The sequence below is a fragment of the Homo sapiens genome, chromosome 12 (genome assembly GCF_000001405.40).
Source record: "Homo sapiens chromosome 12, GRCh38.p14 Primary Assembly".
Taxonomy (NCBI): Eukaryota; Metazoa; Chordata; class Mammalia; order Primates; family Hominidae; genus Homo; species Homo sapiens.
In genome coordinates this window covers 80,295,830-80,312,372 of record NC_000012.12, presented here as the reverse complement: position 1 = coordinate 80,312,372, position 16,543 = coordinate 80,295,830, and the positions used below count along the sequence as shown (strand labels likewise).

At 39.9% G+C, this 16,543-nt stretch overlaps 1 protein-coding gene across 7 annotated transcripts in view; it reads right to left on the bottom strand.

The window, feature by feature from the left end:
* The window catches only part of OTOGL (otogelin like), a 281,344-nt gene that overhangs the window by 68,508 nt on the left and 196,293 nt on the right, over nucleotides 1–16,543 (bottom strand). For 6 of the 7 annotated variants that reach the window (NM_001378610.3, NM_001378609.3, XM_005268802.4 and 3 more), the window contains 4 exons: nucleotides 15,412–15,546; nucleotides 9,590–9,739; nucleotides 6,678–6,797; nucleotides 1,646–1,762 (listed from right to left, as the gene is read on the bottom strand). In NM_001378610.3, coding sequence (NP_001365539.2) covers nucleotides 1,646–1,762; nucleotides 6,678–6,797; nucleotides 9,590–9,739; nucleotides 15,412–15,546 — 522 coding nt within the window. The remainder of the gene's footprint in view (nucleotides 1–1,645; nucleotides 1,763–6,677; nucleotides 6,798–9,589; nucleotides 9,740–15,411; nucleotides 15,547–16,543) is intronic. The other variant, NM_001368062.3, reaches the window with a different exon arrangement.

Genomic DNA, 16,543 nt, shown 5'->3' with positions numbered 1-16,543 from the left:
ATAGTGAAAAGAGTGCACTGTTTTACATTTTTGCAAATCTCTTTAATGTGTGGCTTAATAGCACACTGGGGGATTCTCATATCTGCTTCTTCATCCGGTCTATCGTAATGTTTTTGTCTTGTTTGGGTTTGGATTGACATAGATGAAGAAAATTCGGTTCCATGCATATATTTAGTTGGAAAGGAAGGAGTACTTTAATATCTTTTTCAGGTAATTGTGATATTCTTTGACACTATATCAAAACTCAAAAAATATCATTTTTTAAAAAGTTCTTTGCAATGTGAAATCTAAAAACACATCAATTAACTTTATATTTTGCTATATTAAAATTGTTTTTTATTTCGCCCTTTGAATGAATTTTTTACTTCTGCATGATTTTGTAACATCATGCATTGGTCATGTGGAAAATTTATGGACCCGTGCAGATCTTCGAAATGTTGACACACTTGATTATATACAATAGCTACAAGTCACATTTGTTAATATCACCATCTAGATCAACAAAAAACTCATTAAGTATCAAAAACCTTATAAGCTCGCAGGGGTGGATCTAACTTTTACAAAACTCTAATTTTCCCTTGAAAGTAAATTTTATCAAAGACAACAGACACCATCAGGTGTTTCCTTAAAGACACGGACTCATTTCACACATTTTAATAAAATATCTGCCGGGCGCAGTGGTTCACGCCTGTAATCCCAGCCTTTTGGGAGGCAGAGGTGGGCAGATCATCTGAGGTCAGGAGTTCCAGACCAGCCTGGCCAACATGGCGAGACCCGGTCTCTACTAAAAATAGAAAAATTTGCCGTCTACAATCCCAGCTACTCGGGAGGCTGAGGCAGGAGAATCGCTTGAATCCAGGAGGCAGAGGTTGTAGTGAGCCAACATCATGCCACTGCACTCCAGCCTGGATGACAGAGCAAGACTCCATCTCATAAAAAGAAAGAAAGAAAGAAAATATCTGCCAAATATCCCTGTCTGAATGTCTGAATAACCATATATCATTTGTTCTTTGAAACAGAATGGTATTCCAAGAGAAAAACAACATCTTAGCTCACAAGTCAAACAATCATACAAGTGAGTTCCCTCAAGACCACTGGCATAGCTTTGTATGCAGCAGAAATATTACTTAATTCTTACCAATACATTGAAATATTGCTTAAACTTCTATTGGGACCTAAAATAATCATGCTAGGAAGGAATTTTGAAAACGAAATTTCTAAATAAGTACATTCCATCTTGGGATGTGCTTCTAAAAACATTTCAAATGTGCTACAAGCAATACTTTTAAACTGCACTTTGAGTTGAGAAGAATACCCATTTGACAATGTTCTCTAAAGAAAAGTAAACATTTATGCTCTTAATCATAAAATGATGTATGTAAATAATGTTCCATAAACTAGAACAAATTATTACAAATACGTACAAAGGTACACTGTTAAATTAGATGTAGTAAGGGAGAAAGTAAATCAACTAAATGTGCCACTTCTACAGAAAAACAAACTAACACATATGCCCCCCTAACAATAGTTAGGTGGTATATCTAAAAAGCCAGTGGATCACCCAGTTACGTGTCGTGTTCACCTCAGTATTATAGACACAGTAGAACATATTGAAACTCGAGAGTTCATTAAAGTATTCATTTACCACATTGCGACAAGAAGCAAAAATATCACTGTACAAAATGGAGCATTCTTTCTTGGCATAAGGAAATTTGTTTTGATGTGCCTCACAGGGTTTAATTGTTTCATCTGGACTTTCACACTGTTGAAAAAATTTAAGAGAGAAAAGAAGTTTTCAAAGGGACAATTTCTCAAACAGAGTAACCTACCCAACTTCACTCATTACAATTGCGCCTAATATATTCTCATCCTTTTAGATAGGATTTGCGTAAAGCACCTGCTCACATCCTATTCAATGTTAATTGCATATATTATTTTTGAAAGCAACTAAACAGAATATTAAAATCATAGCAATATTAGAGATAGAGTGGTGATGAATGATTTTTAAATTGTCTTAAACACAGCATTTGCATGACTTAAAAAATTACATGAGCATGACCTGTTTCTTTCATCTTCATCTTCTTCATTTCTGTCACAAATCATCTGAGAGGTTATATGCACCCAAGTCTCTGCAGACTCAATTCCCACACATGCAGCAATTTGGCCTCTTCCTCCCCTAATACCCTTCCCTGAAACTGCCCTGAAAAATGTCATCCATGACCTCTTCATTGTTAAATATAAAGGCAATTTTTCAGTCTTCCATTTTGCTTGACTTTTGCTGCCTCTGATTCTATTTAATACTTTACCCTTCTTAAATGTCTCTCCTCATTTGGTTTTGGTGACACAATTTTCTGCTGGGTTTCCTCTTGCTACATTGGCTGCTGTTCCCTAATCTCGTTCTCCCTCCTCTCTTTGCAAAGCTTAATCCTCAAACCTCTATTTTTCTCATTCGGTACACGCGTCCTGGCTTCAACGCCCTGAATATACTAGTCACTGCCATATCCCTATGTCCATCCCACATCTCCTTCCTGAATTTCAGAACTAACATTTCCACCTAAATATATCTGTCATTTCTCTCTCAGCAGATCCTAATCATCCCTACCTCTACACCATTGTCCTTCCCCGACTATCCACATTCATTTCCTCCTCTTTGCCCTGCCTCAGGAAGGAACACCAGTATCCACCCAGGAAGCCAGGAAAGTAGGAGACCTTCTTGGAACCTCCAAATTCATCCTTCCTAATACAGTCTTAAATCTCTACTGACTTAATATTTCTAGCTGGATTATAAGAGCCTCTTGGCCCTTGTATCTTGCAGATCTATACTTTGCACTTCAGCTATTCTGTATTTCAGACCTTACACCACAACCAAAATTAACTTTTTGAAATTCACTTTGTGCACCACACTCTCTCCAGCCTCTTGACATCTTCTAGGTGGCTGCTCCCTCCTTTCCCTGTTAAATTCTTTCCCATAAATTTCACTTTCTTAGCTCCTATAAATCTTATAAGATTCACCTGCAGGGTACCTTCTCCAGGAACCTTTCTTGGACCATCACAATCCCCACTTTGTGTGCACTTCTATCAAAGCAACTATCTTACTATGTTCCGACTGTTAATTTTTCCACCTCGAAATTTTCCACCTCTAGACTCTAAATTCCTTAAAGGCAAAGACTGTGATTTATCCATATTATGTGTCTGTATGTAATGGAAAACATTAAGTGCTAAATAAAAATTAGTGAATTTTTTAAATGACCTGAATTTTAGCCTTGTCTATCAGGTATGAATAAAAAATTTATTTTGAGGCGGTTTAAAATTATTTGACTACTCCAGATATTTAAGTACCATTAGAAATAGTTACTTCTTCTCTCCCTCTCCCTCTCCCTCTCCCTCTCCCCACGGTCTCCCTCTCCCTCTCTTTCCACGGTCTCCCTCTGATGCCGAGCCGAAGCTGGACGGTACTGCTGCCATCTCGGCTCACTGCAACCTCCCTGCCTGATTCTCCTGCCTCAGCTTGCCGAGTGCCTGCGATTGCAGGCGCGCGCCGCCACACCTGACTGGTTTTTGTATTTTTTTGGTGGAGACGGGGATTCGCTGTGTTGGCCGGGCTGGTCTCCAGCTCCTAACCGCGAGTGATCCGCCAGCCTCGGCCTCCCAAGGTGCCGGGATTGCAGACGGAGTCTCGTTCACTCAGTGCTCAATGGTGCCCAGGCTGGAGTGCAGTGGCCTGATCTCGGCTCGCTACAACCTCCACCTCCCAGCAGCCTGCCTTGGCCTCCCAAAGTGCCGAGATTGCAGCCTCTGCCCGGCCGCCACCCCGTCTGGGAAGTGAGGAGCGTCTCCGCCTGGCCGCCCATCGTCTGGGATGTGAGGAGCCCCTCTGCCTGGCTGCCCAGTCTGGAAAGTGAGGAGCGTCTCTTCCCGGCCGCCATCACATCTGGGAAGTGAGGAGCATCTCTGCCCGGCCGCCCATCGTCTGAGATGTGGGGAGCACCTCTGCCCTGCCGCCCCGTCCGGGATGTGAGGAGCGTCTCTGCCCGGACGCCCCGTCTGAGAAGTGAGGAGACCCTCTGCCTGGCAACCGCCCGGTCTGAGAAGTGAGGAGCCCCTCCGCCCGGCAGCCGCCCCGTCTGAGAAGTGAGGAGCCCCTCCACCCAGCAGCCACCCCGTCTGGGAAGTGAGGAGTGTCTCCGCCCGGCAGCCACCTCGTCCGGGAGGGAGGTGGGGGTGTCAGCCCCCCGCCCGGCCAGCCGCCCCGTCCGGGAGGGAGGTGGGGGGGTCAGCCCCCCACCCGGCCAGCCGCCCCGTCCGGGAGGGAGGTGGGGGGATCAGCCCCCCGCGCGGCCAGCCGCCCCGTCCGGCAGGTGAGGGGCGCCTCTGCCCGGCCGCCCCTACTGGGAACTGAGGAGCCCCTCTGCCCGGCCAGCCGCTCCGTCCGGGAGGGAGGTGGGGGGGTCAGCCCCCGCCCGGCCAGCCGCCCCGTCCGGGAGGGAGGGAGGTGGGGGGGTCAGCCCCCCGCCCGGCCAGCCGCCCTGTCCGGGAGGTGAGGGGTGCCTCTGCCCGGCCGCCCCTACTGGGAAGTGAGGAGCCCCTCTGCCCGGCCAGCCACCCCGTCCGGGAGGGAGGTGGCGGGGTCTGCCCCCCGCTCGGCCAGCCGCCCCGTCCGGGAAGTGAGGGGCGCCTCTGCCTGGCCGCCCCTACTGGGAAGTGAGGAGCCACTCTGCCCGGCCAGCCGTCCCATCCAGGAGGGAGGTGGGGGGGTCAGCCCCCCGCCCAGCCAGCCGCCCCGTCCAGGAGGGAGGTTGGGGGGTCAGCCCCCCACCCGGCCAGCTGCCCCGTCCCGGAGGTGAGGGGCGCCTCCGCCCGGCCGCCCCTACTGGGAAGTGAGGAGCCCCTCTGCCCGGCCAGCCACCCCGTCCAGGAGGGAGGTGGGGGGGGTCAGCCCCCCGTCTGGCCAGCCGCCCCGTCCGGGAGGTGAGGGGTGCCTCTGCCCGGCCGCGCCTACTGGGAAGTGAGGAGCCCCTCTGCCCGGCCACCACCCCGTCTGGGAGGTGTACCCAACAGCTCATTGAGAACGGGCCATGATGACAATGGCGGTTTTGTAGAATAGAAAGGGGGGAAAGGTGGGGAAAAGATTGAGAAATCGGATGGTTGCCGTGTCTGTGTAGAAAGAGGTAGACATGGGAGACTTTTCATTTTGTTCTGTACTAAGAAAAATTCTTCTGCCTTGGGATCCTGTTGATCGGTGACCTTACCCCCAACCCTGTGCTCTCTGAAACATGTGCTGTATCCACTCAGGGTTGAATGGATTAAGGGCGGTGCAAGATGTGCTTTGTTAAACAGATGCTTGAAGGCAGCATGCTCGTTAAGAGTCATCACCACTCCCTAATCTCAAGTAATCAGGGACACAAACACTGCGGAAAGGCCGCAGGGTCCTCTGCCTAGGAAAACCAGAGACCTTTGTTCACTTGTTTATCTGCTGACCTTCCCTCCACTATTGTCCTGTGATCCTGCCAAATCCCCCTCTGCGAGAAACACCCAAGAATGATCAATTAAAAAATAATAATAATAATAATAATAATAAAATAAAATTTAAAAAAAAAAAAGAAATAGTTACTTCTTAATTCATTTGCAGAGAGAAGAATGTAAAACGATTTTTTTCAAAACTTCTAAAGGTAACAAGATGTAAGATAGCCACAGTTAAAAGGATTTTGTCTCTCTCAATATAGTGGATATTTTAGATATTAAAAGGTACACTTTCATACTCTTAAGCTTAGACCACACTCAAAAATTACTGACTGGAATAAATGTTTTACCCCATCCCTTCTTTATTCTTTAAAGAGATTTAGACATATTAGTAAACTAGGCAAAGTAGAGAAGTAACTAACCAAATGGTAACCAATCAGGAAATTGTGGTTTCAAACACTCTTATCAATTGAAAAGAACAACAGGCTAAAAAGAAAGTAGAGGAAAGAATAGAACCAATTTCCAATTTGACTCTGTTTTCTGAGTTCAGCATTTTTCAAAATGTGTTTCATATAACACTACTTCCTTGAGAATTAATAAATAAAAATATATATTATGTCAGTAAGTTTGGAAAATCCTTCAGACATGTCCCTTCTTTATAGGCTTATAATGCCTCAAGAAACCTTTGAAAGAGAAATATGCAAAAATTAATTTAGCCAACTGCTGCCAAAGGTAGTTGACCACAATCCACCCACCCACACACATATACACGTGTCTCCCTTTATTTCATGTAATACAGTAACATGGCTGTTAAGAAATTTTGTCTTCATTTATTTATTGCTTTGAACTGGCAAAAGTTCCATCATCCTTCGAAATGCAGATACATTGATTGGCATTTTGCTATGGTGAGGAAAACATGAGGGTGAAGAGATGAATTTGAATGTCACCTCTGCTACTTTCTAACCATATAATATTAGACAACTCATTTAACCTCCCTGAGCCTCAATTTCTTCATCTATACTAAGGAGAAAACATCCTTTATATGATAAGGTAATCAGAAAAATTACATGAGAAGATAAATATGAATGTTTATCAGCTATAAATTACTATGAAAATAGTATGTAAAATAATATTACCTAAATAAGAATAAAATGTTCTAGTGAAAAAATATTCTTAAAAATTTTTGTTGACTTCTAAAATACATTTATGTAACTTACCTGTCCTAATGCCCAACTATCTCCAAATACCCGAGCATTTCTCACTTCCAAGTTATTAGATGTGGTCATATCATTTGAAGTGCATTTGTCAAAGTTTCCACACAATCCTGATAGCTTGTTCTAAAGTAAGAGAAAATCACCAGGAAATATTCTGTTTTCACTTTAACATTTAAAGACTCATATTCATTAAAACTTTTGAGACATTTCAAATATATATTTAAGCATTTTCACAGCAATCATTTTTAAAAATTAACTTGAAGAAAGTGGATTTTCTCATACCAATTTAATTATATTTTGTGATTATTTTAAATTTGCAAAAATATTTTACCTGATTTCAAGTCCTATTTATCCACACTTACCAGTGTCTTAGCATTAATACAACTAATAACATAAATAACTTTGAAAAGTATAATTCAAACAAGACAGTACATATGAGAGTGTATGTGTATGCAAATGTATATGTGTGTATACACAGAATTCATGTGTATATATATATACATATGTAATTCATAATTATATATATTCCCATCCTTGTTAGAAACAAGGATATGGATGAAGAATGGCAGATATATTCCCTACTTGTTGGAATATATCATATTGCCTGCCTGTTAGAAACAAGTTAACCATTTGTTTTTCCACATCCCCCTTCCTGATGCCTCAGCTTTAGGATAACTACTGTTAGTAGTGGCCTCTGTCTGAACAGATATGATTTCTGAAAACAGAGGTCCCATGGTAATAAGTGGCTATGGCAGATGTAATTCTAAGGTTATTGTCTGCTTTGCCAGAGACATAGGCAGCCTACTTCTCCATTAAGGGATAGATTCCATTCTTCAATATTGAAGAGAGCATTCAGCATGTCTAAATTCAAGGTTTTAAGGAGTAGTTCTACTGCTTCTAGAAAATCATCACTGCAAGTTCTCCCCCTTCATCTAGTAGTAAAATATATTGCTATTCTTGCTGGAAACAAGGATATCAGATGAAGAATGGCAGAGAATATTCATTGAAGAAAGACAGCAATGACTGAAGGTTATTTTGGATTCATCAGAGAAATTCAAGATGCCAACAAACCTAAGAATAGATCTTTGGGCTTTATCCTCCTTAAGACTGAAAGACTATAACTTCAATATACAATCATATTTCACATTTATGACATATTAAAATCTTTTTTAAAAATGTATCTTTTCTGTATTTTTGAGAAGATATTGTTGCTATTCCAATTTTTCTTTGACAAAAATTATATCCATGAGTCTCAGTCTCAATTTCAGGTAAACTAAATTTTAAAAAAATACATCAATGTTTTTGCAAACAACTTTAAAACATGAATTTAAAATGTTCAAATAAATATTCAAAATAATCAAATTTTAAATATTTTAAATAGTAAACTAACAATATTTAATAAAAATATTTAGCAGGGAATAGTATATAAAATAATTTATAATTGCCAAAAATTATAAACAACTCAGATTGGATATTCAACCATGAATGGATAAATAAATTGTGTGGTACATCCACACAACAGAATACTACTCAACAGTATAGAATTCACACAACAATTTGTATGAATCTTAAATATACTTTGCCAAGTCAAAGAAGCCAGACCCAAAAGACTACAGATTGTACAATTCCATTTATATGATATCTGAGAAAGACAAAACTATAGCAGTGGAAAATATAATCAGTGGTTGTCTGAGGTTAGGAGGTAAAGGTAGGGGTTGACAATAAAGAAGCAACATGAAGTATATTTGGAGGTTGACAGGTATGTTCTATGTAGAACTGTTGTGATGGATACAAGGCTCCATGCATAACATGGCTTGGCTCTGTGTCCCCACCCAAATCTCACCTCGAATTACAATCCCCATATGTTGAGGGAAGGACCTGGTGAGAGGTGATTGGATCATGGGGGTGGTTTCTCCCAAGCTGTTCTTGTGATAGTGAGGGAGTTCTCATGACACCTGATGGTTAAAAAGTGTGGCATTTCCCCCTCATTCTTTCTGTCTTTCCAGCCACCTTTTGAAGAAGTTGATTGCTTCCCCTTTGCCTTCCACAATGATTGTACATTCCCTGAGGCCTTCCCAGGCATGCAGAACTGTGAGTCAATTAAACCTCTTTTCTTTATAAATTACCCAGTGTCAGGTAGTTCTTTATAGCAGTGTGAAAATGGACTAATACAATGCATTTGTCAAAATCTATAGACCTAGACACAATAAGAGTAACATTTTTTACATTTAAAAAATAATTTTAGGCTGGGCACAATGGCTCACGCCTGTAATCCCAGCACTTTGGGAGGCCGAGGCGGGTGGATCATGAGGTCAGGAGATCAAGACCACCCTGGCTAACACGGTGAAACCTGTTCTCTACTAAAAATACAAAAAATTAGCCCTGCATAGTGGCTGGCGCCTGTAGTCCCAGCTACTCCGGAGGCTGAGGCAGGAGAATGGCGTGAACCCGGGAGGCGGAGCTTGCAGTGAGCTGAGATTGCGCCACTGCACTCCAGCCTGGGCGACAGAGCCAGACTCCGTCTCAAAAAAAAAAAATAATAATAATTTTACTGCATGTAAACTTAAAAATATATATATCCAGAATGTGGAGGAAAACATGGAACGCAGTTTGTAAGAACTGAATCTAATTGCATTATGAACAGATCACATAATTAAGCTGAAGAAAAAGAGAAGAAGAAAGCTGGCTTAAGTAATCTTGGAAAACTGGATACTGCAAGGTTAAAGTCAAAAAGAACTGTACACAAACACTGTACTTAGTTGGTGAAGTTCTTTTTCACAAGGGTATGAGTTAGTAATTCTGGAAATATAACCTAGTTCTTAAAGGAAAACATTAATCATTTTATTTTCATCAAACATCAAAAACTAAATGTGATTTTATTCATTACATCTCATTTGGAGCTTAGGTTGACCTACCTTCCACTGTGGCCCAACTTTGATATGAATAGTTGTCTTCCTATCCCAAAGAATAGTGATATCTTTCTCTGGAAAGTATACTACTATATAGTAACCAGCCTTCCAAAGCTGGTAGGTAGATTTGTTTTCCAGAAAAAAACCTGATTGTTTCTTAAAAACAAAAAAGAAAATAAACAAAGTGAGTAGTAAGTTCTCTAACCAAAATATATCAAATTAGTTTAGTTAACATTTACCAACAACTATTTATGTACTAATATTGTTGCATGGTCATGCCTTTTCTGAATTCTGTAAGAAAAGACAAAACAATTGCACAAAATAGGAAATACATAAATATTGATTACCAGACACGAACTAGCAGATGGACCCCACATGGATAAATGGGAAAAGGGAAAAGATATTTCAGTTACATGTGGGGAAGAGCAAAACAAGGGAATGGACACAGAAGACATTAAGTGATATCCCTGCCAAATCAGAAATTTTACATCTGTGATGAATAAATATGACAGAACTAAAAAAGGTATGGCCTTGCCCGCAAAAGAGAGAAATTTGTTCCTGCGCATGTTTCTGAGTAGTTTATGATAGCATGGAAATAGTCTACTGACTTCATTAAATATGTCTTGAAAATCAGAATCATTAAGTTTGGTAGGAGACATTGCCTTTCCAATTCAGGCAAAAAGAAGCTGTGAAGTACTTCCTTTAAGTGAAAAGGGGAAAGTTCTCAACTTAACAAGAAAGAAAAAAAAAATTGTATGCTGCAGTTGCTAAGATCTATGGTAAGAAGGAATCTTCTATCTGTGAAATTGTGAAGAAGGGAAAAGAAATTCAGCTAGTTTTGCTGCTGCACATTAAACTGCAAAACTGACAGCCACAGCACATGGTAAGTGCTTAGTTAAGACGGAAAAGGCATTAAATTTGTGAGTAAAAGGCATGAACAGAAATATGTTCTGATTGATGGCAATTGGGTCTGCTACTATCTATGGTTTCAGGCTTCCACTGGAGGTCTTGGGACCTAACCCTCATGGATAAGGGGGAACTACTGTATGTGTGTAGGGGGGCAGGAAGCAGTGAATTACCATCAAAGGTACTCCATAAGGCTTCTTGCAAGGGGTGGGTGTGAACTGATCTGCAAGAGGTTATGCACAGCAAGGTATAGGGTTTGGGAATGAGAATGGAGAAGAAATCCTTCCAAACAAAAGAAATGGCTTGAATCAAGACTTAGGGACAAGAAAGTCAAAGATTTATTCAGAACTAAGGAGAGTACCAAAAGGCTAGAGCATGAATTACATGATGGATCATAGCCTGAGACGTTTGCAACCAAGTTATCCAGAGTAATTATCACATGTGCAAAATGTAGTCAATAAAAGCTTTCAAACAGGGAAGTATTAGACCATGGTTGTATAGTAAAAGAAGATAATTTAGGCAGGAGAAAGGATAAAGCAGAGAGAAATGAGAGATGGAACTTTATTGTAAAGTAGGAATATACAATATTCTTTATAAGCAAGGGCAACACATGGCTATATTGAATCTGACCTTGAAATTAACTCATATAATAACTTCAAAAATGCACAGTTAACATCAAAGTAAGTAAGACAAATTTAGCCAGAGGCAAAATAAAATTATGAAGGAGATATGAAATTCTTTGGTTACTTTTCTCCTTCAAGTAATAACAAAAGCGTAGTTTGAAAATACTATACTACAGTAGACTTTTTAATCAATATTTCAAAGGGGAAATGAAATAAATTTAGTCATATCCATAAGGAGTTTTCAGTCTCCTAGACCAAGGTCATACTTAAAACAGGTGCACAATATATTGTATAGAACAGTATATATTGTATATAACCATATGTGTTGTTAACTGGCTCTCTCTGATCTCATATCCTTCCACTTCCCAATCCCCACCCTCACTGACTAAGCTTCAGCTATGCTGGCTCTCTTTCTGTTCTTCAAATTTAACTAAGCTTTTACCCATCTCAAGTCCTGTGCGCTTGGTGTTCCTCCTGCTAGGAACTCTGTTCTCCAGATCTTGGCGTAATGGCCTCATTCCCATCAATTGTGACCCATATGCTCCCTCCTCTGTGAGGCCTTCCCTGATTGCCCCAGTAGAACTTTCATCCTCAAGATGGGCCAGATTGGTAGGCATTTAAGACAGCACAATGCTCTTCTGAGCAAGGACGGTTCCTTGCTCAGAAGTGGGCCCCCTCTTGGGGTTTAATGCTCTGTAATTGCCATCTTGAAATTCTAATTTTACCTGTGAATTCGTGTTTTGTCAGTGAAGTTCAATGAGACAAAGAATCATGTGTCTGGGCCTTGAAGCCTTGGCTCACATCTCCTGCTGTCCGCCCAATCTCCCTGGATTGATTCTCAGATGCCTGCTTCTCTGCAGCCACCCAGAGACCACTGCTACGCTCCACTTGCAGCACACAGGCAGGATGAGTTGGACTTAGGCAAGCATACCCAAGTGCCAAGTTGGAGTTATGAGGCAAGGAAGGCCCTCAGCACTGACAGGGTGTGCTCTCACCCCAGGACTATCCCTATGCTTGAGTCAGCATAGCATTAAATGATGATTAAAAAAAAAAAAAACCACGACACATCGAGACAGAACATGAAACAAGAAAATGAAACTTTTTCCCTGTTTTGACCAAATTACGTAGCTTGCCCTGCCCCCAAGTCAGTCTCTGCCACAGAAACTAATTCTATTGTTTTCACTGCACTTTTTAGCATCTTTCTATCACCTTGTTTGTCTTTGACTTGTTTCTCTTTTGCTCAGTTTGGTTTTGCATCAGTTATCCTGATACAAAAGCACATCTTTTCTACTTGTCTTTAGACATAAAATCCTTCATTTTCATTAGATAGGGCAGTTTACTACAAGAAAATCCTCTATGGTCAAAGGGAGTTGCCATACGCCTTACTTTTCAGATTCTTAAATAATGCTTCTCATTAGAACAGTGAGGTATTACAAATTGTCCAAAATAGAGATCTCCACTTCAGATGAGAATTAGAGCACTTTAAACAAACTCTAGTGATGTTAGCAAGATATGTTAGAACTATGGAGAATTAAAATATTTAAAGTACAGCTTAAATAAATTAATAAAATATTTATATCTTATACATTTGATAAAATTAGAATTGTGCATTTACATATAAAAATAACAGAGGTGGTTTTTTTTTTTTTTCTTCCCCTGGATGGATGGTCCATCTACCATAAAATAAATAGTGCTTATTTTTCACTTTCAATGTTTGAGAAAAAATATTGCAGGGGATTTCTTTAGGGTCAAACTATTTTTATGACTTTTCTTAATCTTATGTCATACAGTTTATATAAAGGAGATTCATTAACACCTACATACAAGTGAAAATTGGAAGTCGAAAGTTATGTGGAGTTGCAATCACCACTTCAAAGATGTGTCATACTGTCTTTATAAGACCATTTACTATTTTCTCTTGTTTCTTTTTTAACATCCTTGTTCTTAGAAATAACCTTCACCTATAAATGAATATCTGGTTGGTGCTTATGACAAACTGCTGTAATTACTTTAAAAACATGTCAACATGATTGTAGAAACTCTGTTTTGCCCAAAGGTTGATTGCTACCCAGTTAGTTTCAATGTTTCTGACTGAAACATAGTTATGTTTTAAGGTAACTGTTCTCAAACTTTAGTGTGCACAAGAATTTCAAGTACCATTGAAAATGTCAATTTTGTTTTCAGCATCAGCCGTTCCAATTACTGAAGTAGGGCCCAGAAACCAGCACTTACAAGAAAAATTCCACATGATTTTAATGAATGTTTGGAGACCAAACTGAGAGAAACACTGCTCTAAAAATCTCAGAATATAGGTCAGTTTTTAAAGCCCATTTGTCAAATTAGTACTTTCTAACTCTAAAATTTCTTGCCTGTAAAATGAGGTTCAAATATCTTGTACCATTCAAGAGCCTCCATAGTCTGGACTCAGCCCCCTCATCTATTGCCTTTACCCCATGCTCCCTGAATGGCAGCTGATCAGGACACTCCTCCCTGAGTCACTTTGCCACTCCCTCCATCCACTGTCCCATATATTGTGCTTCCACCAATCTAAACCACCTGCAGTTATACAAACATGCCATTTCATCTCTCAGCTCTGCTCTACTGAGTGGGTTTATTCGTCTGTACTGATTGCCACCCTACTCCCTCTCTTCACCTGGCTAATGCCTACTCATCCTTTAAGACTCAGTGCAAATCATTTCCTCCAGAGCATGTCTTCTGAGCCTTCAGAAATAGGGAGGGTAAGAAGAATCATTTCTTCAAATCCATTAATTTATATTTGCATTTCAATCCTCACACAAACTAAAGAAGTAGGTTCTAAAATCTTCCCAAATTTACAGATGTAAAAGCTGCAGCTTGGAGAGGTTAAGTAAACCTGCCCAAAGTTACAGAGCAAGCAGGTAATGGAACAGAGGTTCCGAGTTAGTACTGAGTGACTCTAAAGTCTATGCTCTTAACAATCACCCTAAGCACCCCAGGTTTCTTTAGGTGCTCTTCCCAGGAGTTCCCATATTATCCTACATAAATTCCTACCATAGGACACCATGCTTCCTTATTTACCATGTGCATCCTTATTTACCTGAATGTATCCCTCACCTGAGCAGAAACTTCTTAAAGGCAAGCACAGTGTTATTTCACTGTTGTAGCCCCAATAATTAGCACATTTTGATATTCAGTAAACATTATTTAAAAAGTATGAGATGAATGAATGAATGAAATGTATTCATTCTTTTAAATTGGGCAGGCTCCAAGGATACAATAAACAAGAACTTGGAGACAATTGGGGAAGACAAGCTCACAAGTAGTTTCATTAAACTTTGATACACATTCTAACAGGGTGCTTAAGGGTATGAGGAGGAGCTCCCTGGAGGAAGTATGATAAGACATATTGCATAAGAATAAGTTAAATTGAAAGACAGATCCAGGAAGAAGCGATAATAGTAATGAAGGACTAATAAGATGCTCCACCTTCTGGAATGTGGGCTTGAAGCAGAAAGTAATGAAAGAGCAGGCAGCAGAGGTGGGTAACAGCCAGACTGGCAAGGCCTTGGGGGAGCAGTGGGAAGGCATCTCAAAGTCTTGAAGAACCAGAGTGACATATTAGATTTCCATCAAAAATGTACATATACAAGGCTGGACACGGTGGCTCATGCCTGTAATCCCAGCACTTTGGGAGGCCAAGACAGGTGGATCACCTGAGGTCAGGAGTTTGAGACCAGCCTAACCAAGATGGTGAAATCCCGTCTCTACTGAAAATACAAAAATTAGCCAGGCGTGGTGGCGTGCATATGTTAATCCCAGTTACTCAGGAGGCTGAGGCAAGAGAATCGCTGGAACCCAGGAGGCGGAGGTTGAGGTGAGCCGAGATCGTGCCACTGCACTCCAGCCTGGGCAACAGAGTGAGACTCTGTCTCAAAAAAAAAAAAAAAAAAGACATATACAAATAAAACTACCTATGCTGCAGTATGTGAGGATGAATAAGAGGGGAAAGACTAAAACTAGAAGCCAAGAGTCTAGCCTGGAAGCCACTGAAGTAATTAAGGCAATAGGTGGGGGTTGCAAGGGCCCAAATGGCAACTATGGGAATGAAAGCAAGAGGAGCGAATTGGAAGATGGAGAAGGGAAGTAAGAAGTAAGAAGAGAGAAGTCAAGCACAATGTACTGAAGCCACGCAAAATGAAAACAAAACACAACATAGATCTCATGACCATTTACAGAGAGGAGTAGACCAAATCATTTCTATTCTATTTTCAGTATCCTCAGGACAAGTTCAAATGATCCTGAAAGAAATAATTCACTAACCTGTTTGTAAGGAGTATCATTCAGGTAAATTTCAGTGTCCCCAACTGAAATCAAAACACTTTTAGAACAAACAATATCGTTGTCAAAGCATTTCTTGTTCTGGGCAATGACAGATATATCTGAATCATCTGCACTCTGAAATGTCACAAATATTTTATTAATACAAATATATACAACCTATATTATTTTTAGTTATTTTTATTAAGAAATCTTAAATATTGACAATGGATTGCATTAGAACTGAAAAACAACTTACCTCTAAAATAAAAAGTCATTTTTAACTAACAATGTGAAGAAGTCTATAGAAATATAGTAGGATAGCTCAATCTTTAAACACCTATAATATCTGTTAAAATTTTGTTCCAGCCAAGTTTACCATTTTATTTCTATAGCTCAAATGTACCAACCATTATCATTTTATTTATCAATAAATAATCAACAAAACAATATGTCACTTAGGGAAATCTTTAAAAAATATTCATTTGAGATATGTCTTTTGTTTTATTTAAACGATATTTCTGGCTGAATAATTATTTGTCTATAAGTTAGAATTCAAATAGATACAAAACTTTGGTATTTGTTAGTAAATAAAATAATGTGTATTATTTGAGAGCTTGGTTTGAATTTTACATGTATTATCCAATTTAGTTCTCATGAAAACTTTTTGAATTGGGTATTATTTCCATTTTACAGATGAGGAAACTGAGATTAAGAGGAATTAACTGATTATCTAAGGTCGCTTTGTTAATTAAGAGGAGGATCAGAGTTCAAATTCCTAATCTGTTTTGTTTGTCTTGATGCCACTTGTAAAGAAATTAGGAAGGGTCTAGAAATGGTTGAGGAGAAAAGACAACTTTAGATGATAGGGAATCCCTAAATTCAAGGAACACTATTTAGTCTCTCTACTCTAAATGACACACTTCCACCTCCAGGTAGACCCCTTTCCTTGGCAACTCCCCACTGCATCCACTAAGTCACTCTTTAGAATCAAAGTTTCTAACTTTCTCCCCCAGTTTAATGGATAGGTTTCTTCAGTTGTACTGACTCTGGAAATTTCATTATAAAATATTGTTTACATCTGGTTCCTTAAAAGTTTTAATTGGCAAGTTATAATTGCATATATTTATGAGAT